The following is a 27,311-nucleotide window of genomic DNA, read 5'->3' on the forward strand; positions in this document are numbered from 1 at the left end:
GTTTGAAGGACTTCAAGAAATGAAAAGTTTATAATTTTAGTGATTCCAAGCCAGAATAGCAGGAAAAAAATGAAATATTAATTTGGAGTGTTGTAGCTAAATATTGTAGTAAGCTAGAAAAATTGAGGATCTATTGCAGATTGCAGGCAGATAATAAAACCTCAGGAAAAAAAAAAAAACAGCTAGAATCTAATATTGGGTGCACTGCAGTTTTCTCCCGAAACATAACTTTTCTCTCTATATTCACTCTCATTTCTGTCAAAGATAATCAAAGTCAGATTGATTTGTTTGCTAAATAAGTTTAATCTCATTAAACTTGTACTGGTTTTGTACACAAGTGCAGTTAAGAGTAGTGATTGACCATTTAGGCTCTTTTAAAGGTTGCGTTTGTCAGATAAGAAATCTCAGATTAAACTTTTTGTTTTTGTTTTTTTAGACAGAGTCTCCCTCTGTCTCTCAGGCTGGAGTGCAGTGGTGCGATCTTGGCTCACTGCAATCTCCGCCTCCTGGGTTCAAGCGATTCTTCTGCTCAGCCTCCCGAGTAGCTGGGATTATAGGTGCGTGCCACTATGCCTGGCTCATTTTTTGTATTTTTAGTAGAGACAGGGCTTTCACCATATTGGTCAGGCTGGTCTTGAACTCCTGACCTCGTCATCCACCTGACTTGGCCTCCCAAAGTGCTGGGATTACAGGCGTGAGCCACTGTCTCCAGTCAGATTAAACTTTTAAAAGCCACCTGAGGCTGGGATACAAGCCCAAAACTTGTCATTAGTCTGCACCTGTTACATTTATAGATTTAGATAAATTTCTCTCTTCTTGAGGTCCCTAAAATATCCCAAGGTTTCCAGACCCACCAAGCAGTGACATTCTTTACTTACCTGTAAGTCTGGGAACCCTAGAGCCAGTTTTTCCAAGATGGTACTTTATTGGTTCCATAAAGCCAACCTTAGTCCCCTAAAGCCTTCTGGTCATATCTGAAAACATGATGTTTCAGTCAAAGCCTTGGTGATATAACCTGTGTTTCCAGTTTGTCCTGTTACAAAGACAACAGATTCTTATTAAACTTATGCAAATAAATACATTGCCATAAAAATAAGAATATGCACAAATAGTTTCCAAATTCTGGAGGGATAAGTTAGGGAGAAAAAGTAAATGTTTCCATTTTGCACAAAAGTATTCTTTACTGAATTGGTGTAAGCTAGAGATAGCTTAAAAAAAAGTTTTCTGAAATCTGGAAAACAAAACATTTAAAGAACTAGCAATGTTTCCAACAAAAACTCATTTTAAAAATTATTCTCATCAGTTCATTCAGTACCATGTAATTAAATCTTGTTTTGCTTGATCTTGGGTTAGTAGTTACATGAACCCATCAGTTTTATTAGAGTTCTGGAAATTCTTACCAGTCCAATTGTATGACGTTAAAGTTGTTCAGAAACCTGTATTCCAGAATAGTCATAAGAGTATTTTCCATAAATCTCCTTGAAGAAGAAGCCATTTTGGACTGTAGCTAATTTCAAATGCTTTTAGAGAACAATTAAATTAAAACAATAACTGTCTACAGATGACAAGGACTTAAAATGTCCATGGTTAAAAAATCTAATGAGAGTTCATTACAATGATGCAATTTATAAGAAAATTTGGTTAGCATGGCATACAGCATTTTAACATAATAACCAAAATTATGACTGATAACATACTAGATTTCTAGGAATCTCATACAACTTTTGTACACTTATCCCAATAATATATCCATAAATATAACTTAAAGATGGCTTAGCATCACTTTTTATTTGAATGCTACACATATAATTTAGCATATTAAATAAATCTAATTGGTTTAATCTCTCTTTCATACAAAAAAAAAATTCTTTGTGGCTTTCTGAGGGTCCAATATGGAGAATCCTAAGTTAATTTGAGGTCAAAAAGACTTAACTTAGAATGTGATTTTGGGAAGATTGTCAAAAATGTCAAAAAGTTTAAAACATTTAAAACAAATATGACCATAGTTATCTATTTAATAAAAGCTCCATTAAAAGATTTTAAAGGCAAATTCAGATTACATAGTTGTGAACAAGAACTTAGCTCCTTTAATATTGAGAAGACTCACTTTTCTTAAGTAACCAAAAACCTAATAAAACAACATGAAACTCAAGAAATTATCTTGATGAAACAGAGTCTCTGTTTCTGAGGCCAATTACTTAAAAGGAAAAAAATACCCTTTACATTCTCAGACCAACATTCCAAGAAAACTTTACCATTTTAACGGAGAAGATCAAATTCTACTTTTGAATCAATGTATTACTAAAACTAAGTTTTAATAAAACCTTATAAATAAATCTATCCAATCTCAGTCAGCTTAGACCATACAAGATAAGATTTTCACAATCCTTCTAGACATCTTTTCTTATTTACTTTTGCAACAGACATACACCAGACAATTAAGCAATTTACTTTTACTACATATTCTACTCTTAGGTTGAATTTATGGTTTTATGGCCTTAAACATCTAACAGTAACAACACAAACTTGTCTAATCAGCAAAGCCAGGTAAAACAAGTGTATGCTGACAATTCTGAAAATGTTTCTATTTTTATTTTACCAATATTTTTTAAACTAGTTTTTATTTACTAAGGAATATCCCAGATTATGTGAACTTAAAAAAAATTGGGTCAGTTTCTACTTTTCTGAAAATTTTATACATTCTTATTTGTTTGAGTGCTCATTTATCCCTAGCCAATTTGGGTATTTTAGTTTGGTAATAACGTTGGAGGTAGAAAAATATCACATATACATAACATAATAACATAGATACACACATGTACACATACACAAACATATAGAGTGATGTAACCAGATCTTATGACTTCTCATTTAAAAAATTTTAACCAGGCCAGGTGCAGTGGCTCATGCCTGTAATCCCAGCACTTTGGGAGGCTGAGGTGGGTGGATCACCTGAGGTCAGGAGTTCGAGACCAGCCTGGCCAACATGGCATAACCCCGTCTCTACTAAAAATACAAAAATTAGCTGGGCGTGGGGCATGGTGGCGCCCGGCTGAGGCACAAGAAGCACTTGAACCCAGGAGGTGGAGGTTGCAGTGAGCCGAGATTGCCCCGCTGCACTCCAGCCTGAGCAATGAAGTGAGACTCTGTCCCAAAAAAAAAAAAAAAAAAAAAAAAGTTTTTAACCATGAGGCAGTAAAACAGAGTAATACAAAAATACAAACTCACTGGTTTATCTCCGCTTTATATTGTTATCCAAATTGTGTTTCTGGTGAAAAAGGGATAAGTTGAGTTGACCTACATAACAAAGGCTAAAGCTTTTTACCAATATTTGTGGAGGAGGTTTTTTAAGATTTTTTTTTTTTTTTACTTTATCAGTTTCCAAACAGTTTCTTTTTTTCTCCTATTATCAGCCCCAGGTGCTTGTTTTTGAGGGGCCTCTGAGTCCCTTGAGAGCCCCCTCAAAGGAGGGTAGGATAGGGGTCCTGAAGTTCAGCAGAAAAGAAACGGGTCTGGCAAGAGTGGACAGAGAAATAGTCAGCAGAGACTTGAGAAGAGGGGTTTCAGGTGACAGAGCTCCCATGGGAGAAGCAGGATCCAATAGAGAGAAGAGAAAGAGCAGAGTGGTTTTATAGAGAGCCAGGAAGAACAATTTGTAGCCCAGGGAATCAGGGAATAACCCCTCACTCAGAAAAAGAGAGCCAGAAAGAAGAGACTTCTAGCCTAGGGACTCAGAGAATAGACCACTCAGAACAAGAAGCCCACACGAAGACCTTCCTGCCCAGAGGATTGCTTTCAAAAGAAGCCTGGGACTCTACCCCAGCTTCAGAGAGAATATTCATCCCTTCAGATTCAAAATCTGTCCTTAGCCATCAACGGGCTTTTGTCTGGAGCAATGGCTCAGGAATCTGATTCACCAATGGATCCCTAATCAGTCAGAAATGACAACAAAGACTTCAAAGGCATGCATTTAGGGTTCTGAGTGAGAGGCCCAGGATCCAGTGATGAATCTGTCCTAGTTGAGTTTCAACACCATAGTTGTTAAAGAAAAAATTATTCAGTGATACTTCAAATGCACAGTAAAGAAGACTTTATTCAGGACCATCACCATAGATATAGGAACCACTGCAACACAGTCTTGGAGCTGGGGAGAGAGATGGGCTTAACTCTGAATACAGCATGCGGAAGTGGGAATTTATAGCCCAGGAGCAATGCAGGGGTCAGTGAATGGAAAATCACTAAGAGGAAACATCAGGAGTAAGGGAGATTCTGGCTAAACCGCCCTAAAAGAATTCTTGCTGAAGACTGGCCAGGGTGATCAGACATCACCTGCAGAATGGTGAAGAATGAAGAACCTGATCAGATATTGAGAATGAGGGGTTCTTTGGTAAACTTGGCAGTGTTCTTTGCTAATGCTGGATTTTGCGAGGAAGTGCACAGTTTAGCCTAGCTGAAGATTTAGAAGCCTGACTAAAGTTGGCCAAGCAAAGAATCTTTGTTATCAACATATTCCATCAAACCTCACATCCCTGCCTTAAATGATCAAACCATCCGCACTCCTGTATGCTACTGTTCTCCATGAAAAGTTACTTCTTCTTTGCCTTAACCAAAATCCAGCCATTCTAGAAAGACACCAGAAGGCTTTCTGCAGCATCTAAAATTCCCCACATTCTGGGCCCAAATCCTTTTCCTTTCCCTGTTGCTTTTAGATCCACATTGTGTAACCCTCATCTGGAAACCTCAGTTTCTTGGAGTCATTTTTTTTTGGGGGGACGGAGTTTCCGCTCTTGTTGCCCAGGCTGGAGTGCAGTGGCATGATCTCAGTTCACTGCAACCTCCGTCTCCCAGGTTCAAGCGATTCTCCTGCCTCTGCCCCTTGAGTAGCTGGGATTACAGGTGCCTGCCACCATGCCTGGCTAATTTTTTGTATTTTTAGTAGAGACAGGGTTTCATCCTTTTGGCCAGGCTGGTCCCGAACTCCTGATCTCAGATGATCCACCTGCCTCAGCCTCCCAAAGTGCTGGGATTATAGGCGTGAGCCACTGAGCCAGGCCATTCTGTCTTTTTATATAATGTAACTTGTACTTTTATGTAGTAAATTATCACAATGGTGTCAGACACTCTGAGGAAGAGTATTTTACTGTATCATTCCCATTACCCAATCAGGAAGTCTTAACAGGCAGATTTTAACAAAAATATAAGACACAACTGTGCCCTAGCTTTTCTCACATACTTCCTACCTCACACTTCACACATTTCTTTTTCTCAGCACCCACTCTTAAGTAATAATTTATTTCCCCTGAATATTATTTACCTTCTGTGGGCTACTTTACATATCATCTGAAAGCATGATCAAAACAGTTATATTTGTGAATAATTTTATTTTGGTTTATTTCTTAGCAGAAGGAGGAGTTAATAGTAACATTTGTAGGCCGGGCACGGTGGCTCACACCTGTAATCCCAACACTTTGGGAGGCCGAGGCTTGCGGATCATGAGGTCAGGAGATCGAGACCATCCTGGCTAACACGGTGAAACTCTGTCTCTACTAAAATACAAAAAAATTAGCCGGGCGTGGTGGCGGGCACCTGTAGTCCCAGCTACTTGGGAGGCTGAGGCAACAGAATGGCGTGAACCCAGGAGGTGGAGCTTGCAGTGAGCCGAGATCGCGCCACTGGGCTCCAGCCTGGGAGACAGAGCGAGACTCCATCTCAAAAAAAAAAAAAAAAAAAAAAAGGAACATTTGTAATCTCCCAGAGATTGCCAAGGAAAACATTCTCCTGGCTGAATTTATGTAGAGTTCATCATCTAAGCATAAAATATTTTATAAAGGAATGGGCCAATCAAATAACTGCTATGCGGTTGACACCATAAACCAAGTTAGCTTAGTACCACTCTAAATAGTTGCTGGGAATATAATGATTTTCAAAGACATGATCTCTAGAAATAAATAACTAAAAGAGAAGCACGGTGTCATGCATTTATGCATACACATAAGCAGGGACTAGAGATCAAGAATAGAAATAAAAGAGGTTTTTACACTTGGGGTGCTAAGGTCGCAATGATTTATTTGGAGAGAAAACGGAAGCCCTTCTTTAGTAAATGCAAAGCACCATGTGTTTAATGAAGATACATGACCTAAGCTTTGAAGATCGTTTAACTAATTCAATAACCTTACCAAGTATCCATTACTACATCTCAACAATCAAATTTACAGTGACATCTTTGAGTTAAATCTCTCCATAGATGTCTGGAAACAGCTTAATTCTGTTAACTGCTGCCCATTGAATTATGCTTTATTTGGTCGTAGAATTTCATGTCATCTGTTAGTCTCCCTCACAACTTGGGAGATGTTATTCCTGTATTGTCTGTTCTCGTTGATGAAGAGAAGTCTGTGATAAAGTAATTGTCCTTCCTTTGCAGGTAATCTGCCTTCCGTCTCTGGTTGATTTGAAAATATTGTATTAGTCTTTAGTATCTTGCATTTTACTGTGGTATGTCTACATAAGGATTTATACTTACTGAGTTTGCTCAGAGCTTGGAGTATTTCCTCAGTCTTAAAGGCCCTAGTTGTGAAAATGTTACTACAGAAAAACTTTCTTTTTTTAACTTAAAATCCTTTTTATTGGGAAATAAATGTAAGATTATAGATAAGTTTGAAAATAAAAGAATTGTTAGAACAAAAAATACTCATATGCCTGTTACCCTAATTTGTCTATTATTATTTTATTAAATTTAGGTTACCATTTGTTCTCTCTCTCTCTCAATATATATCCCAATTTTCGGTCTTTAGATCTAAATCTTTCAGCAACCTGGACTATCATGGCCCCAGTGTAATGCTTGGCTTTGTACCTCATGAGGGAAGAAATTTTTTTTTTTAATCTTAAGTTCTAGGGTACGTGTGCACCACATGCAGGTTTGTTACATAGGTATACATGTTGCCATGTTGGTTTGCTGTACCCATCAACTTGTCATTTACATTAGGTATTTCTCCTGATGCTATCTGTCCTCCAGCCCCCCACCCCCTGAAAGGCCCCAGTGTGTGATGTTCCCCACCCTGTGTCCATGCATTCTCATTGTTCAACTCCCATCTGTGAGTGAGAACATGCGGTGTTTGGTTTTCTGTCCTTGTGATAGTTTGCTGAGAATGATGGTTTCCAGCTTCATCCATGTCCTTGCAAAGGACATGAACTTATCTTTTTTTATGGCTTCATAGTATTCCATGGCACATATGTGCCACATTTTTTTAATCCAGTCTATTATTGATGGACATTTGGGTTGGTTCCAAGTCTTTCCTATTGTGAATAGCACCACAATTAACATACGTGTGCATGTATACATCTTTATAGTAGCATGATGTATAATCCTTCGGGTATACACCCAGTAATGGGATCGCTGGGTCAAATGGTATTTCTAGTTCTAGATCCTTGAGGAATCGCCACACTGCTTTCCACAATGGTTGAACTAATCTATGCTCCCACCAGCAGTGTAAAAGCATTCCTATTTCTCCACATCCTCTCCAGTATCTGTTGTTTCCTGACTTTTTAATGATCATCATTCTAACTGGCATGTGATGGTATCTCATTGTGGTTTTGATATGCATTTCTCTGATGACCAGAGATAATGAGCATTTTTTATGTGTCTGTTGGCTGCATAAATGTCTTCTTTTGAGAAGTGTCTGTTCATATTCTTTGCCCACTTTTTGATGGGGTTGTTTTTTTCTTGTAAATTTGTTGAAGTTCTTTGTAGATTCTGGATATTAGCCCTTTGTTAGACGGGTATATTGCAAAACTTTTCTCCTATTTTTTAGATTGCCTGTTCACTCTGATGAGAGTTTCTTTTGCTGTGCAGAAGCTCTTTAGTTTAATTAGATCGCATTTGTCTATTTTAGCTTTTGTTGCCATTGCTTTTGGTGTTCTGGTCATGAAGTCTTTGCCCGTGCCTATGTCTTGAATGGTATTGCCTAGGTTTTCTTCTAGGGTTTTTTATGGTGTTAGGTCTTTCATTTAAGTCTTTAATCCATCTTGAGTTAATTTTTGTGTATGGTGTAAGAAAGGGATCCAGTTTCAGCTTTCTACATATGGCTAGCCAGTTTTCCCAGCACCGTTTATTAAACAGGGGATCCTTTGAGGGAAGAAAATTATTTCTAATATTTTAATCCAGCTATGTATGTAAAAAGAAGTCTTTTTCATATTTTATCTATTATTTCTGTATGATTGGAGTATGAGTCAAAACATCTCAATATAAATAAAAAGTTACATTTCAGTAATTTTTTTTTCTAAAATTACAAAACACTAGTGGTCAAAAACACTACTATTTCCAATTCTCTTTACTTTGTTAACATTACTTTTTGTACTTATGAGAGAAGAGTTTGCAATCCAAAAAGAGCAGGAAGGAAGAGAGATTAGAGATTTTTTCTCCCGCTTGCTCTATACATATGAGATATTTATATATCTATATATCAACAGTTGACCTTTGAATAACACTGGTTTAAACTGTGTGAGTCCACTTATAGGTGGATTTTTTCAGCCAAATACAGATTGAAAATATAGTATTTGTGGGACGTGAAACCCACATATGTGGAGGGCCAACTTTTCATATGCGAGCTCTGCAAGGTTGACTGTGGGACCTGAGTATGTGCAGACTTCGGTATATGCAGGGCTCCTGAATGCAATACCCCACTAATACTGAGGGATGACTGTATATGTCTCTATCTATCTACTCTATCATATATATATATATATATATATATATATACGCACACACACACACACACACACAAATATGTGTATATATATATGTATGTGTGTATATATATATATATATACTTCCTATATTACTTTGCTAGGGTTGTTATAACAATTACTGCAGACTGGATGAGTTAAACAACAGAAATTTATTTTCTCACGGTTCTGGAGGCTAGAAGTGTGAGGTCAAGGCATCAGATGTGTTAATTTTATTCTGAAATTTCTCTCCTTGGCTTTTAGATAGTCATTTTCTCATCTTGTCTTCTCATGGACTTTTTTCTGTGCACATGTATGTCTGTACCTAAATTTCCTCTTCAAATAAGGACACCAGTGATATTGGATTAGGACCCAGACATGTGACCTCATTTTACATTAGTTACCTCTTAAAAGTCTCTATCTCCAAATATAGCCACCTTCTGATATACCGGGATGGCAGGGGGCAGGGTACAGCATATTAATTTGGGGAAAGGACACAATTCAGCCTATAACATATGCAATATATTCTTCTCTGATCTATATTATATAACTTTTACATATAATACATATATAATTTAATATACATTTTAACCCCTTGATTAATTTTCTCACTGCAGAGAAAACAAGAATTAAAGAAAAGCTTCAGGTGATACCATTTTTGAATGAGTAAGAATTGAGCCTACCCTTAACGCAAGAATGAAGTAGAAATAAACTGACTTAGGGAACAGCATAAAAAAGTTCTCTTATGAGTCAAGATTTCAGTGTGATGTCATCATTTTTTCCAGGGATTAAATGTTAGAATATATTGCATGCCCATATTGAGGTGGAATCATAAACTTATTTCAGACTTATTATAATGGCTCATTTTCTTATGCCTTCACCATTGAACTTGTACTTAGCTGGGGATTGAGCTGAAAGTTTGCCTTTTCTGTATCTAGCATAGTTGCACCAAATCTGACCTTAATCCCAAATTTTCCTCTCTGTAATATCTTGTTTCCAAATGAGGCTCACATTGAATTTTCTCTTGTTAGAAATATAACTGGCAACACCAATCAAAACCATTCATTCCATTCAGTTGCCTGTGAACAAGCTTGATTTGCTTTGTTATTAATACAGCTTCTTGTGGTTTAAGTAGAAAGCTCTTTTGTAAATATCCCTCAGTTTAAGTATATATGGTTTACATTTCCAGGTAAACTATAAATTATCTGAGAAAGGCCCAGCACGGTGGTTCAAGCCTATAATCCCAGCTCTTTGGGAGTCTGAGATGGGTGGATCACTGGAGGTCAGGAGTTTCAGACCAGCCTGGCCAATGTGGTGAAACCCCATCTCTACCAAAAATACAAAAATTAGCCAGGCATGGTGGTGCACGCCTGTAATCTCAGCTACTCAGGAGGCCAAGGCAAGTGATTAAACCCAGGAGGTGGAGGTTGCAGTGAGCTGAGATCGCACCACTGCACTCCAGCCTGGGTGACAAGCTGGACTCTGTCTCAAAAAAAAAAAAAAAAATTCTGTGAAAAGATCTGTGATTTCCATTCTCCTTTATAGTAATTGTTAAGCACTCACAATTAGATGGTTATAACAACTATCAAAGAAAAACAATTATTTTAATAAATATTTTTCAACATTTTCTCCTTTCTAAGCCCTATGCTATGCACTAAAAACTGCAGAGAAAATCAACACATTCTCTACCTCACAGCAGATTTCTTGGAGAGAGATAGGGGTGGGGAGGGGAATAAGGGTTGCTAAATGTTGTCAACTTTGTAATACAACTCTCAAAGGGAGATAGTTATTAGGGAGGCAAAGTGCTCAGGCTCAGATTTCAGGTTGCCTAGATTTGAATTCTGTCTTCACTGCTTCTTTTATGATTTGCCCAAATTACTTAAGCTCTTTAAACCACAGTTTCCTCATCCTTAAGATAGGGATAATAAATAGAACTTATCTCATAAAATTACTGTGAGGATTATAAGTGATTATGAAGTTGATTAAATTTCCCCAGTGCTTCATACAAAGAAAGGACTCAAAGGATATGCTAGTTCATAGTAGGGGCATAGAAGAAGATATCCCTTCTCTCCTGGGATATAGGGTATACTTAACTGTCCACTATAAAATTGAAGATAGGCTAGAGAAAAGCTAAAAATGAAGAATCTAATAACTCTTTAGCCAAGAGAAAATGAAACATGAGGGAAAGGGAGAAGTTCCAAATGAGGTCCACATTTCTCGTGGGCCACTGAATGGTGGTGCCATTCAGGCAGAGGAAACCCAGAAGGAGGAGTCATTCTGTAGTTAGAGGGCACTTAATGAGATAATATTAGAGATAACTGAGGTTGAGTTGTTGGTACATATCTGGGTGCAAAGTCTCCATAGGTCCGGAATTTTGAATAGTTTTCTGGAGTCATCTGGTTATTGTTAAAGCCAAGAGAATTGGTGAGATCACAGAATACAATAATGATCAATAAGAGGGAAGGGAAGAGAGCCAAGAATGGGAGACTGGGAAGCATACACATTTAATTAAGGTTTGGTAAGGTGAAAGGTGTCAGCAGAGAATGTAAAGGTGAAATAATGAGAGAAAAAGGAGGACATCAAGGAGAAAGTCGTGTTTTGAAAAAAACAGAAAGGACACATTTTCAAGAAAGACATTGTCAATAGTTTAAATGTCACAAAATAGTAGAGTATAATGCAATTAAAAAAACAAAATCTGTTGCTTTTGTTAATTAAATAACTAGTAACCTCGGCTGCAGCAGTTTCAGTAGAGTGAGGAGAGTTGACACCAAACTGCACCAGTGGAGTGAAAATAAGTGGGAAGAAAGAGTGAGGAAGTGGAGGACAGTCTTTTTTTTTTTTTTAATAAAATATTTTCCCAAACTGTCTTTTCTGGAACTTCCAACATGTCTGCTTAAGAGCTTGTCTAAGTTGAATTCATTCGAACTTCTTGAACCTAATTAGTTTCTTTTTGCTGTTTTTTTTTTTTTTTTTTTTTTTTTTTTTTTTTTTTGAGATGGAGCCTTGCTCTATCACCCAGGCTGGAGTTCAATGGTGCAATTTCGGCTCACTGCAACCTCCTCCTCCTGGGTTCAAGCAGTTCTCCTGCCTCAGCCCAATTAGTTTTAAAGACGCTGCATATATTGGCAGGGAAAACCTAGAACACAAAGTCAAACTTCCAATTATCTCCCTTCAGTGCTCAAATCAAGAGTTCATTTGTTGCAAGGAATGGGGGTCTGGACTCCAGGGAGAAGAATAGAGTTTTAGAAGGAGAGTTATCCTAAAACTAAATGGAAGGAGGGTTCTTTGAGATACCAAGGATTTGCAGGACTTTATTTACAATTAAATGTTAGTTTCAGACAGCCCAGGAGGAATAGGTCTATTAAAAGAAAGCAAGAGTAGTTGGCATAAGGAAACAATTTGCATTGGAGCCTGAGAGTGAGTATAGTAATGACCACATGAGAGACCCATTTGACTCAAGTACTTCAAAGCATTGCCAGTGTTAGTCTTTGCTCCACAATCAAGTGGGGAAAAAGTGAAATGTCTTTGAAGAGCATTTCCTGTAGGTGGCCTTTGAGGAGGTCCTGAAAATTCCAAACCTGCAAGTATTAATGGCAAAGAATAAAAATTTCTTTATGTAAAATACTTTTAAAAATCTTTCTAAATAGCAAGACATTATATATTACCATTGTTAAAAGATAAACGAATTGAGAAATATCATTAGAATTATATGCAGCAGATAAAATGGTCACTTTTTCTTTTGAGACGGAGTCTCGCTCTGTCGCCAGGCTGGAGCACAGTGGCGTGATCTTGGCTCATTACAACCTCCAGCTCCCTGGTTCAAGTGATTCTTCTGCCTCAGCCTCCCGAGTAGCTGGGATTACAGGCACGTGCCACCACCCCAGCCAATTTTTGTATTTTTAGCAGAGACGGGGTTTCACCATGTTGGGCAGGATGGTCTTGATCTCCTGACCTTGTGATCCACCCGCCTTGGCCTCCCAAAGTGTTGGGATTACAGGCGTGAGCCACTGCGCCCAGCCAAAAGGTCACTTTTTAAACTTAAAAATTATTAAGAAAACAGTGAAAACTTAATGTTTAAAAGAGTAGAAGATAGGGAAAATTATTACACAGAAAAAGATAAACAACAGAGAAAGATAAATAAATTGCCAGTGAATATGTAAAAAGTTGCTCAGCACCAGTGGTAGTTCAAATCCAAATAGCACTGAGTTAGCATTTGTTAACTAATAAATTGGCAAAAATTATATTTTGATAAAACCCAGTGTTGTTGACATCCCAAGAAAAAGGGCTATGCTCACACAGCCTTGGAGCATGTGCACATTGATGATTTTTTTGGCATAAAAATTAGTGGTTTCTATTAAAATCAGCAGTGTAATTCACAATCGCTAAGACATGGAATCAACCTAGGTGCCCATCAACTGTGGATTGGATAAAGAAAATATGGTACATATATGTCATGGAATACTTTGCAGCCATAAAAAAGAATAAAATCATGTCCTTTACAGCAACATGGATGCAACTCGATGCCATTATGCTAAGCGAATTAACACAGGAATAGAAAACCAAATACCACATATTCTCACTTATAAGCAGGAGCTAAACATTGAGTACACGTGGACACAAAGATGGGAACAATAGAAACTGGGGACTACTCGAGGGTAGAAGGAGGGAGGGGGTAAAGGTTGAAAAACAACTACTATGCCTAGTACCTGAGTGATCGGATCAATCATGCCGCAAACCTCAGCATTACACAACATACCCATGTAACAAACCTGCACATGTACCCACTGTATCTAAAATCAAAAGTTGAAATTATAAAAAATAAAAAAATAAAATCAACAATGTATATTTCTCTCACACAGCCATCACGATGATGTATTTGGAATAATATATGCATAAGGATGTTCATTGCAGTGTTGTCTGCAAGGACAAAGTGAAAACAATCTGAATAACCAACAATATGACACAGAGTAAGTAATTATTGGTACGTCTGTACAATGCCTCATGCAATCACCACTGACAGCATGGGAAAGAGAGACATCTATTATGAAAAGACCACTAAGACATATGATTACATGATAAGTGCAAGGTTCATGAATAAATAGTATGTATACTAGTATAGCATACTTCTTTCTAAGAAAGAAACTATAACACATACAAGAATGGACAAGAAGTTATTAACAATAGCTAACTTTGGTGATAAGACTGTAGGTTGTAAAAAGCCAGACTTTCATTTCTCATTTTAAACCCAATGAATTATTTAAATCTAACCCTACTGCATTCATTATCTTTACAATAAAATAAATATGTATAACAATGAAACATAGTTTTTAAGTATTTGGGACATAAATTAAACATTAATAGATTACACCTCTTAAACTTGGTACTTTAGTATCCCATTTCTCTGTGAGAACTCTGAAAGCTTCATCTTCCACAGTTTAGGTAATTCTTTGGTGTCTTATTTTGTTATTTTCTTGCCCTGAGATTAGCAATGTCAGATCTCCAAACTGCTAACTCTTCTCTTTGGCAGATCAAATGCTTCTTCTTAAAAAAATTAAGTTTTTGGTGTCGGGAGCGCGCGGCGCCCCGGCTCCCGCCCGCTCCCAGCCGGGCCCCTCAGCGGTCGGCGGGACGGCTCCCGGCTGCAGTCTGCCCGCCCGCCCCGCGCGGGGGCCGAGTCGCGAAGCGCGCCTGCGACCCGGCGTCCGGGCGCGCTGGAGAGGACGCGAGGAGCCATGAGGCGCCAGCCTGCGAAGGTGGCGGCGCTGCTGCTCGGGCTGCTCTTGGAGTGCACAGAAGCCAAAAAGCATTGCTGGTATTTCGAAGGACTCTATCCAACCTATTATATATGCCGCTCCTACGAGGACTGCTGTGGCTCCAGGTGCTGTGTGCGGGCCCTCTCCATACAGTGGCTGTGGTACTTCTGGTTCCTTCTGATGATGGGCGTGCTTTTCTGCTGCGGAGCCGGCTTCTTCATCCGGAGGCGCATGTACCCCCCGCCGCTGATCGAGGAGCCAGCCTTCAATGTGTCCTACACCAGGCAGCCCCCAAATCCCGGCCCAGGAGCCCAGCAGCCGGGGCCACCCTATTACACCGACCCAGGAGGACCGGGGATGAACCCTGTCGGGAATTCCATGGCAATGGCTTTCCAGGTCCCACCCAACTCACCCCAGGGGAGTGTGGCCTGCCCGCCCCCTCCAGCCTACTGCAACACGCCTCCGCCCCCGTACGAACAGGTAGTGAAGGCCAAGTAGTGGGGTGCCCACGTGCAAGAGGAGAGACAGGAGAGGGCCTTTCCCTGGCCTTTCTGTCTTCGTTGATGTTCACTTCCAGGAACGGTCTCGTGGGCTGCTAAGGGCAGTTCCTCTGATATCCTCACAGCAAGCACAGCTCTCTTTCAGGCTTTCCATGGAGTACAATATATGAACTCACACTTTGTCTCCTCTGTTGCTTCTGTTTCTGACGCAGTCTGTGCTCTCACATGGTAGTGTGGTGACAGTCCCCGAGGGCTGACGTCCTTACGGTGGCGTGACCAGATCTACAGGAGAGAGACTGAGAGGAAGAAGGCAGTGCTGGAGGTGCAGGTGGCATGTAGAGGGGCCAGGCCGAGCATCCCAGGCAAGCATCCTTCTGCCCGGGTATTAATAGGAAGCCCCACGCCGGGCGGCTCAGCCGATGAAGCAGCAGCCGACTGAGCTGAGCCCAGCAGGTCATCTGCTCCAGCCTGTCCTCTCGTCAGCCTTCCTCTTCCAGAAGCTGTTGGAGAGACATTCAGGAGAGAGCAAGCCCCTTGTCATGTTTCTGTCTCTGTTCATATCCTAAAGATAGACTTCTCCTGCACCGCCAGGGAAGGGTAGCACGTGCAGCTCTCACCGCAGGATGGGGCCTAGAATCAGGCTTGCCTTGGAGGCCTGACAGTGATCTGACATCCACTAAGCAAATTTATTTAAATTCATGGGAAATCACTTCCTGCCCCAAACTGAGACATTGCATTTTGTGAGCTCTTGGTCTGATTTGGAGAAAGGACTGTTACCCATTTTTTGGTGTGTTTATGGAAGTGCATGTAGAGCATCCTGCCCTTTGAAATCAGACTGGGTGTGTGTCTTCCCTGGACATCACTGCCTCTCCAGGTCATTCTCAGGCCCGGGGGTCTCCTTCCCTCAGGCAGCTCCAGTGGTGGGTTCTGAAGGGTGCTTTCAAAACAGGGGGCACATCTGGCTGGGAAGTCACATGGACTCTTCCAGGGAGAGAGACCAGCTGAGGCGTCTCTCTCTGAGGTTGTGTTGGGTCTAAGCGGGTGTGTGCTGGGCTCCAAGGAGGAGGAGCTTGCTGGGAAAAGACAGGAGAAGTACTGACTCAACTGCACTGACCATGTTGTCATAATTAGAATAAAGAAGAAGTGGTTGGAAATGCACATTCCTGGATAGGAATCACAGCTCACCCCAGGATCTCACAGGTAGTCTCCTGAGTAGTTGACGGCTAGCGGGGAGCTAGTTCCGCCGCATAGTTATAGTGTTGATGTGTGAACGCTGACCTGTCCTGTGTGCTAAGAGCTATGCAGCTTAGCTGAGGCGCCTAGATTACTAGATGTGCTGTATCACGGGGAATGAGGTGGGGGTGCTTATTTTTTAATGAACTAATCAGAGACTCTTGAGAAATTGTTACTCATTGAACTGGAGCATCAAGACATCTCATGGAAATGGATACGGAGTGATTTGGTGTCCATGCTTTTCACTCTGAGGACATTTAATCGGAGAACCTCCTGGGGAATTTTGTGGGAGACACTTGGGAACAAAACAGACACCCTGGGAATGCAGTTGCAAGCACAGATGCTGCCACCAGTGTCTCTGACCACCCTGGTGTGACTGCTGACTGCCAGCGTGGTACCTCCCATGCTGCAGGCCTCCATCTAAATGAGACAACAAAGCACAATGTTCACTGTTTACAACCAAGACAACTGCGTGGGTCCAAACACTCCTCTTCCTCCAGGTCATTTGTTTTGCATTTTTAATGTCTTTATTTTTTGTAATGAAAAAGCACACTAAGCTGCCCCTGGAATCGGGTGCAGCTGAATAGGCACCCAAAAGTCCGTGACTAAATTTCGTTTGTCTTTTTGATAGCAAATAATGTTAAGAGACAGTGATGGCTAGGGCTCAACAATTTTGTATTCCCATGTTTGTGTGAGACAGAGTTTGTTTTCCCTTGAACTTGGTTAGAATTGTGCTACTGTGAACGCTGATCCTGCATATGGAAGTCCCACTTCGGTGACATTTCCTGGCCATTCTTGTTTCCATTGTGTGGATGGTGGGTTGTGCCCACTTCCTGGAGTGAGACAGCTCCTGGTGTGTAGAATTCCCGGAGCGTCTGTGGTTCAGAGTAAACTTGAAGCAGATCTCTGCATGCTTTTCCTCTGCAACAATTGGCTCATTTCTCTTTTTTGTTCTCTTTTGATAGGATCCTGTTTCCTATGTGTGCAAAATAAAAATAAATTTGGGCAAAAAAAAAAAAAAATTAAGTTTTTAAAATGTATTTCATAGGATTTTTGTTCTCTCTCTCCCTCTTTTTGTGCATATGTGTGTGTGTCTGATTAGTCTTTACTATCTTAAAATGGTTAGTCCTGATAGACCTGTTTCTTCAAAATTTCTCTCAGTTCTTTGGCAGTTTGCTCTTAGCTTATAATTAAAGATCAATTTCTGACTTGTCTTGTTCTAGAAAACCTCAATGGAAATTACAGCAAGCTGAATAGGATATTAATTAAAAACATAAACCTGGTGAAACCCGAACATAGAGGCTCCAGTTCAAAGATGCTTCCAATAGTTGACATGGCCCTTCATTCCTTAAAACCAGCTATTTTTCTTTTGAATTACATTACCTTTAATTCTGTAAATTGGATGTTATATAGTACCATGAAAACTGCTGTGAGTAATTATAATACTCATTGCTGAGTGATGTGACTTCTTTCTCAAGGCTATTTCTGAGGGAAATTGTACAATTAGATCTTTAGGTATTGTGACTTGTTTTGGAAATCATGGTGGCCCTCCAGGGAGCTAATGAATCTTTAATTATTTAGAGGTTCACATGAGACCCCTTACAGATATAAGCACATTAGCTCTGTAGCTAAGGGAACATTTAAAAACAGTAACATGAAATGTGTCAGACATAGAGGAAAGATGAAGAAGCAAGTAGAAGCTAATGCAAACAGAGGAACTGCCAGCTCTCTGTGGCACTCTAGCTCTCTCTGTCAGTATTTGGTTGGCAATGTAGACATAGTGGATGAGTGCAATTACATATGTTAGGCTCATTCTGAAATGCAGGAGCATTTTAGATTTTCATGTAGAAGCCTGACAAGCAAACTACATCTAGGATATACTTTGATAACTTTGAGTTGAGAGCCAAATTTTTTGAAGGTAAACCATCTCCCTGTTTTAAAGTAGTGTTTAAAATTATAAAAATTTTAATACATCTGTAATATAAAATATTTAGATATAAATACTACAAGTGCAAATGAATTTTTTTTTCTACTTCTGCATTCAACTTTTCTCTTCTCCCTTCAGGGAAAACACTTTTGTGTAAAGGCCTCCAAAATATATGTAGAGGTGTATGTATGTTAAAAACATGTATACATATAATGCATAACCAAACAAATGAAATATCCTAAACATATGGACCTGAAAATTGCTTATAATAAATTTGAACTGAACATATAGGCATAAATGTGGTTCAGAAGTGTCCAGTTGAAGCAACTTCACTTTGTTAGGTCAACAAAAGTTGGGGACACCAAGATCTACTCCTCTGATTTTGTTCTAGCATTATCTTAATGGAAATGTTTACTGAAATGGAAATACATGTAGTGGACATCGTGGTGGTGTCTCAAGCATTCAGTGTTCCCTGCTCTCACACACTCCTAACCAAATAATGAATTTCTCAGCTTCACAATGTTTAAGTGACATGAGTCCCATGCCCAATTCTTGGTCATTGTAATTGGTGCATGGAAGGAACCTGTGCCTTCTGCTAATCAAATCAGAATGAAGTACAACTTTTTCATTCCATGATTGAAGAGGGAAATGCCTTCTTTCCAAATGCAGCAGAGGAAGCATGAGGTACTAGGATTGGAAGTTGTCTACTCATGACATGATATTTTAAGCCATAGAATAAAACTGAGACCTAATGTGTTAGTCCTTTCAGGTCGCTATACCAGAATATCACAGCCTGGATGGTTTATGAACAACATAAATTTATTTCTTACAGTTCTAGAGGCCAGGAAGTCCAAGATCAAGGTGTCAACAGATTCAGGGTCTAATGAGGATTTGTTTCCTGGTTCACAGACAGCTGTCTTTTTGCTGTGTCCTCACATGGTGGAAGGGGCAAGGAAGTTCTCTAAGGTCTCTTTTATAAGGGCACTAATCCCATTCATGAGGGCTCTGTCCTCATGACCTAATCACCCCCCGAAGACCCACTGCCAAATATCATCACACTAGGGATTAGATTTAAACATACAAATTTTGGGGGGGATACAAACATTCAATCTATATCACTTAAGGTAGAGTGAAGAAACAGGGAGGACAAGAAGCATTTATTTTGTGTCATTATTAAACTTCTGCATTAGGCTATCTTGAGCCTATACTATTGTTCAAAATCTCTTTATTATACAAGCCATTTTGAATTTTGATTGTTTGCAACCAAAATTAACCTAATAAGTTAAAATGTACTATAATGTTACATCATAATTTGTCTGTACTAGTAGTATTTGCTAGAGTGTTTAGGGGAATACTTGCTTGTTAACTTTTTAGTAAATATAACACTCCATGTTCAAATACATTTGGGAAATGCTGAGCATTTCACACTTTTAGAGACTCAAAACAGGCAGCACATTTTTAAAAAATAAAAATAAAACCAAATAGCATTGCATTTGGAGAATGGTACAAAAAAAGAGAATTTGATAAACCAGAGTTATCAGAACTCAGTGGATACTATGTGTTAGACATTATTATAAGCCATTAAACATTTTACAAGCTTGATACCTGAGTTAAAAATTAATAACCCAAAGACACATTGGAAGAGAAAAGTTGACATATTTTTATTATATTAATGACCTAAAGATATCATAGCAACTAACCTCATTATAGTCAACAAGTGAATGAACGTAAATAATATTAAATAACTATTGGAAAGTCTCTCTGATTAAGCATGGAAATAAATAGGCAGTGCTTTTGACCAATAAATGGAGGACTTACAATATTTTCCAATACGAAACAAAAAGATTCTAAATGTAAAGGTTTTAGGCACAAAATATGTTAGTCAATTCATGACAGCAGAAATTCAGCAGGTCATATTTTTGGGGTAATGTAAATGACAATAGAAATCATGGACTAAAGTGTAACAAATAAGTAATATCTAGGCAGGTGGAAATTTTAAGATCTTTTAAATTAACTTCTGGACTATAGCAAAAATTCAAACTAAAATTCATCAGGGAGTCAGGGAAGGTCAAATGAAGAAGCATGGGGATTGAGGCAAAAACCCTGAATTATACCAATATTATCTTTTTTTTTATTATTTTTATTTTGAGAGAGGATCTTGCTCTGTTACCCAGGCTGGAGTGCAGTGGTGCAATCATAGTTCACTGCAACCGCGACCTCCTAGGCTCAAGAGATCCTCCCACCTCAGCCTCTTGAGTATCTGGGACTACAGACCCTCATCACCACAACACCCGTCTAATTTATCTATTTTTTGTAAAGATGAGGTCTCACTTTGTTGCTCAGGCTGACAAGTATTATCTTAATGTTATAGAAGAAAAGTAATTCTGGCCATATATAGGTATTATTCTTTGCAGTGGAATATCATTTCAGAAATTTGTGCCAAACATAAAATTAGTTTTCTAGTAGTAAAAAGTAATTAAACTCTTTAAATTATTATTACCCCTAGTATACTGGGGAATGAGTGTGTGTTCCAAATGAAAAAAACTTGGGATGTCTAATGAGATGCTGTTTTCTGTCGCAGAAAATCTATGTAAAATGTTTTTTCTCACGTGTACACTGTTGATATTTGAGACAGCACATGTTAACACTTCAAGAAGTAAAATAAATGTGTTGATTATATCCACAGTTTTCATATTTATTAACTATATATTTTGTTTTTAATGTAATGCCTATTGAAAAACCTGTAAATAGTTGTTTCTTAAAATTGATAAATACTGCCTAAGATTTTTCTGTATATTTTCATATTTCAATTTTCCTGTGAGGTTAGAATGAACACTTTTAGCTAAGACATTTGGGCCTCCAAATCCTAAACCTTTCAGAATGTTAGTTTATTATTTGGTTTTTACCTAAATTATTTTCTGCTTATTCAAGATCCTTAGGTCTATCCAGTTACGTTTTTATTTTTTTATTTTTATTTTTTTATTTTGAAACAAAGTCTCACTCTGTTGCCAAAGCTGGAGTGCATTGGCATGATCTGGGCTCACTGCAACCTCTGCCTCCCAGGTTCAAGTGATTCTCCTGCCTCAACCTCCCGAGTAGCTGGGATTACAGGGGCATACCACCACACCCAGCTAATTTTTGCATTTTTAGTAGAGATGGGGTTTCACCATGCTGGCCAGGCTGGTCTCAAACTCCTGACTTCAGGTGATCTGCCCACCTCAGGATCCCAAAGTGCTGGGATTATAGGCGTGAGCCACCATGCCTGGCTGTATCCAGTTACATTTTTAAGACCAGCCAGGCTTAATATATATTTGGTCTTTAGCTCAATTCAATTTGTTGCATTTTGTCCATTGTACTTCATGTGACACAGAATATATCTTAATTTAAAAAGACATATGTTTGTTGAGCTATCTGTTACGTTGGTATATCTTGGAATTTTAAAAAATATAAACCACAGAAGCCAATTATGGCTGACATTAACAATAAATAGGTTTATCACAGAAATAGTGGGGAACTTGTAGAACTGTTGAGAAGGCTAGAGAGCCAGATCAAAGCTAGGCAGCCAGGAAATGTACCCCAAACCATGCTGTAGAACTCATCCAGGGAGGAAACCACTGTCACCACCAGTAAGAAGTAACACCGAAGATGCAGAGAGCAACAATTGCAGCAATTGCTCAATCCTAGGCTAACTGCAAAGCCACCAGCACCACTCCCACTTGTTCGCTTTGCAACAGATAGCTGCAAAGGAGGCTGAGAAAGCAAGCATTTGACATTTTAGCTTCTAAAGCAGGAGGTGGTTTCTTGTTTTCGTCAAAACTGAGAGGCTGAGGAATTCCTCAAACACAGGAACAAACATCAAATAGTAAATATTCATGCTTTAACTTGCTCAATATCAATATAAACTTTCCCTTTTGAAAGTAAACACGAAAGACCCAAGCTTCCTTCTAACAGAGTGCAACTATTTCTCTAATAATTGAACATGTACCTACAATCTCTTGAACAATGAAACAATAAAAAATTCTCAATCACAGCATGTACTCTAAGTCTAAGAATTCTGGGTTATGTCCATTCCTCTACAAAGTTCTTCACTATACTCTCTTGACATTCTGCCATATATCATTTAAAAATTAAGTTAATCACCCTCAATAAGCCCTGTTTTAAAAAGAGGGATAAATGGAGAGGAAAGAAGGAAAGTTGTTAAGATACATAAGTATGCACAGGACAATACAAGAGAAACAATGTGTTTGGATGTAAAGGCTCTCCTTTCTGCAAGTGGCCAGCAGGTCACTATTGGCATCTATGGCCATGTGCCCTCAGCTAACACCTCTGCTAGTCAGGGTTTTGCCTTGTGAAATGACCAAATATTCATTCCTGACAGAGAAATGTCCTTGATAATCTTTTTGTGTGAGCGTGCCATGGTCATTGTTAATTTCTTTCATTTAACAAAATAATAGACTTTATTTTTTGAGCAGTTTTAGCTTTATGGAAAGATCGAGCAGAAAGTACAGAGTTCTCACATACTGTCACCTTTATCCCACCCCCAGTTTACATTAGAGTTCACTCTTTGTGTGGTACAGGTCTAGGAGTTTTGCAAAACGCATAATGTCATGTACCCATCATTACATTATTACCAACGTATTTTCAATCCCCTAAAAATCGCCTGTTTCAGAACTGTTTATCTCCCTACCCATCCCCAAACTCCTGGCAACCACTGAGCTTTTTTGTTGTTGTTGTTGTTACTTAGTTTTTATTTCATAATCATAAACTTAACTCAACTCTGCAATCCAGCTAGGCATGGAAGGGAACAAGGAAAACATGGAACCCAAAGGGAACTGCAGCAAGAGCACAAAGATTCTAGGATATTGCAAGCAAATGTGGTGGAGGGGTGCTCTCCTGAGCTACAGAAGGAATGGGTCTGGTGGTGAAAATAAAACACAAGTCAAACTCATTAGAATTGTCCACAGTCAGCAATGGTGATCTTCTTGCTGGTCTTGCTATTCCTGTACCCAAAGTGCTCCGTGGCTTCCACAATATTCACACGTTCTTTCACCTTGCCAAACGCCACATGCTTGCCATCCAACCACTCAGTCTTGGCAGCGCAGATGAAAAACTGGGAACCATTTGTGTTGGGTCCAGCATTTGCCATGGACAAGATGCCAGAACCTGTATGCTTTCGGATGAGGTTCTCATCATCAAATTTCTCCCCATAGATGGACTTGTCACCGGTGCCATTAGGGCGTGTGAAGTCACCACCCTGACACATAAACCCTGGAATAATTCTGTGAAAGCAGGAACCCTTATAACGAAATCCTTTCTCTCCAGTGCTCAGAGCACGAAAGTTTTCTGCTGTCTTTGGAATCTTGTCTGCAAACAGTTTGATGGAGATGCGGCCCAAGGGCTTGCCATCCCTGGTGATTTCAAAAAAGACGACGGAGTTGACCATGGCTGATAGTACAGGGCTCACAGCGATGGTGGCGTCTGCAAAGATAACCACTGATCTTTTCACTGTCTTTATAGTTTGGCCTTTTCCAGAGTGTTGTATAGTTGAAATCACAGTATGTACCCTTTTCAGACTGGCTTCTTTCACTTAGCAAAATGTCTTTGTTTTTCTGTATCTTTTTGTGGCTTGATAGTTTTTTCCTTTTAGCACTGAATAATATTCCACTGTAGGAATATACCACATTTTGCTTATGCAGTCACCTATTGAAGGACATCTTGGTTGCTTCCAAGTTGTGGCAGTCTTCATTTCTTTCTTTCTTTCTTTCTTTCTTTCTTTCTTTCTTTCTTTCTTTCTTCTTCTTTTTTTTTTTTTTTTTTTGAGACAGAGTCTTGCTCTGTCACCCAGGCTGGAGTGAAGTGGCACAATCTCAGCTCATTGCAACCTCCGCCTCCCAGGTTCAAGTGATTCTCTTCCTCAGCCTCTGGAGTAGCTGGGATTACAGGTGTGCACCACCACGCCTGGTTAGTCTTCAGGAATATTTACAGGACTGTATAGAATTAGGAGCCATCAAAGGGGATCCCTGAATTCTTTCTGTTTTTCTTACAAATACCAGTTTTAAGGTCAAGATTTACTACCCCATGCCACAGTGTAGCCGCATTTTAAATTTTAAATTTTTGACTGTTTGTTTAAAGGTCTCAGGCAACCTAAAAGGCTAGATAGAAGTCTCTCATCCTCTAACGAAGGATGGATTGTAAAATGGAATACTGCTAAGACTCTCCCTTTGGGTACTAATTCTGCAAAAACCTAGAATCTCAGAGACAAGAGACAAGTATTTGGAGTGGATCATTAGATGTAATGACAAAAGGAGTCACTTCAACATTCATAACAAATATCAAAGATTGTTGTATTTTTTATATAGGAGACACCAGACAAGCTTATACTTAGTTACTAGTTCAGAGGATACACCACCACATCCTCTAGCATGAGTACAACCTTATAAGCCATTGTCTCCAGCTGGCACTGTGATTGAGTCTTTAATAAAATATTCACCATTCTGTAATAATAATAATTTTGGTTAGTGATAGGATAAATGGTGGACCAGGTGAGTCCAATGAATATCTACTCATTTGTTATACAACAAGTTCTTTTAAGAGAAGGATGTAGAACAGGATATTATGGCAGTATATATAAGGCATTCAATGTACCCGTGGAGAGTGGCGATCAGAGAAAAATGATGTCAGGTAAAGCAAATGTAATTCAAGGTTAAAGGTAGATTCCATTTACAAAATTCCTTGTTGCCTTTATCATAGAGGAGTTCCAATAAAATCAACAAGTCTGACAAAAGGTGACTGGTTTATTCACCCAGGATATGTTATTGTGTGCTTAGCCTTGGACTTTGTTGCTTGTGTGTTGGACACCTAATAGTCTTGACAGCTAAATAGGCTTTTGTAAGCGAGAGTGGTAAAGTCCAACATGTTGCTGAACCTATGTGTATTCTCTACTGCTACCACCAATGTTGCTGTTTATTAGCCTTCTAAGCAAGCAATGTAGTGCCTGGTGAAAGAGATTGTTTCATACCTTCATATCTATTTGATAACCTTCCTGATGATAGTTTGGTGAGCATTCGTATTAAGCACAAATATTCTTACACTCTGGCTCATTTTCTGTGGTTCATCTACATATTTTTTCCCCAAAACTCATTGCCACCAATCCTTCAGTCTTTGTCTTTCCGAGTCCCTAATTATCTTTTCTTTTCTTTTTTTTTTTTTTTTTTTGAGACAGAGTTTCGCTTTGTTGCCCAGGCTGGAGTGCAGTGGTGCAATCTTGGTTCACTGCAACTTCTTCCTCCTGGATTCAAGAGATTCTCCTGCCTCAGCCTCCCAAGTAGCTAGGATTGCAGGCACACACCACCACATCTGGCTAATTTTTGTATTTTTAGTAGAGACGGAGTTTCACCATGTCAGCCAGGCTGGTTTCGAACTCCTGACCTCAGACAATCCACCTGTCCTGTCCTCCAAAAGTTCTGGGATTACAGGTGTGAGCCATCAGGCCTGGCCCCAAGTCCCTAATTATCTAGACAAATTATTAGCTGCCACATATACATCAATAATATCTCTCCTTCTAGACATCGTGGACAACCAATTACATAGGCTGAATTTCTTTTAAAATTGCATTCACGTAGGTTATAATGCCTAAGCAATCTACTTTTGGCTGCTGCTGTGATGTTGTACAGTGACTTCTGTAAATCAGGCTCAATTTTTCCCTCACTAATCAACTGGCCATAGAGAACTTCCCATGAAGACATAGGTATAGATTCTATTATTCCTACCTGCTGATGAAGCAGGATAGTTAATTGGAAAACACTTATTTCATGATAAGCAGCTCATGTTGTCATATTTTTTTGCATTGATAGGACTTCAGTTTCTACAATGGTCCAGGATCAATCAAGAGTTCTTTAAAGAAAACATTTATTTTGTCAAAGAAATGCATTTTGTTCCAAATCCTAAGAACAATAGTAGTGGTGTGTCAGAGGCTCTATTGCATCTGGATATAAAAACAAAGGGGCACAATATTCCTGACCAGTTGGGAATTATTATCTTCATCTCAATCCCATCAAAATGTGGCAGCATGACAAGTCATGAAGTAAAAGGACCAGGTGATAAAATGAGGTCTCCAAAATCCAAAGCATCAAAGTTCTCAGTTAGTGGTCAGGGCTGCAAAGTGCCATAATTTTGCACTTTGGAAGGTATATCTTGAGAATATTGAGTGTATGAGACAAGTTAAAAGGTCATGCAGCCAGACGCGGTGGCTCACGCCTGTAATCCCAGCACTTAGGGAAGCTGAGGTGGGCGGATCATGAGATCAGGAGTTCAAGACCAGCCTGGCCAATATGGTGAAACCACATCTCTACTAAAAATACAAAAATTAGTGGGGCATCGTGGTGCCCTCCTGCAGTCCCAGCTACTTGGGAGGCTGAGGCAGCAGAATCGCTTGAACCCTGAAGGCGAAGGTTGCAGTGAGCTGAGTTGGCGTGACTGCATCCAGCCTTGGCAACACTGCGAGACTCTGTCTCTTAAAAAAACTAAAAAAATAAAAATAAAAAAAATTTAAAAGTTCGTGATTAACACCTCTGTTAGCCTCTGATCTTTATAATAATTATCACACACACACAAACCAAACACCACACATAGAGGAAACAGTAAAAGATTAAAGGACACAGCTAAAAATACATTTGTATTATTACTTCCCAAAGTTCTAAAATTATCAGAAGGGACTAGTGAATCTTTAAAAAATATTGATTATCCAACACTTTTTAATAACCAGTATAATTGCATTGAAGGCTACTGAACATGCACATGTTCCTAAAATTTTTCTGTTATGGTGTCTGGTTTGCGAAAGGAACAAAATTAAACATAGTTCCTTGGCAATTTTTCCCTCTTCCACTCTACTAATTGGCGTATGTGCGATGTGTGTTTATTGTAAAATAGGAATAAGATTCAGAGGTCAAGAATCAAAGTGAGTCAGAGTAGGAAAAGCCAGACTCAAGCATAACAGAAGGGCAGAGCCTGTCAAACCCCAAAATTAAAGGGTAAATTTCAACACAAGTAGAAGTGGTTCAAAAGCTAAGGGCATCCTCATAGTTCATGAAAAACAAGTATTCACGCAGGTAGCAGACTCTAATCTGCTTCAAGCCAATGTGCTATTCTCTTCGTGTTATTTATATCCCTCAGAATACC

The 27,311-nt window shown here is 39.2% G+C and overlaps 1 protein-coding gene and 1 pseudogene across 1 annotated transcript; one reads left to right on the plus strand and one right to left on the minus strand.

Moving 5' to 3' along the window:
• On the plus strand, positions 14,293-17,215 carry VOPP2P (VOPP family member 2, pseudogene; annotated as a pseudogene).
• On the minus strand, positions 22,868-23,627 carry PPIAL4D (peptidylprolyl isomerase A like 4D). Its single transcript, NM_001164261.2, has one exon. It carries the CDS (start codon positions 23,575-23,577, stop codon positions 23,083-23,085), a length of 495 nt encoding a protein of 164 aa, NP_001157733.1. The 5' UTR covers positions 23,578-23,627; the 3' UTR covers positions 22,868-23,082.
• Positions 23,628-27,311: the final 3,684 nt, after the last annotated feature.

Source organism: Homo sapiens, chromosome 1, assembly GCF_000001405.40.
Source record: "Homo sapiens chromosome 1, GRCh38.p14 Primary Assembly".
Classification (NCBI taxonomy): domain Eukaryota; kingdom Metazoa; phylum Chordata; class Mammalia; order Primates; family Hominidae; genus Homo; species Homo sapiens.

Bases quoted from the DNA above. Each gene is read 5' to 3' on its own strand.
- PPIAL4D (NM_001164261.2), bottom strand. From the start codon at position 23,577: ATGGTCAACTCCGTCGTCTTTTTTGAAATCACCAGGGATGGCAAGCCC.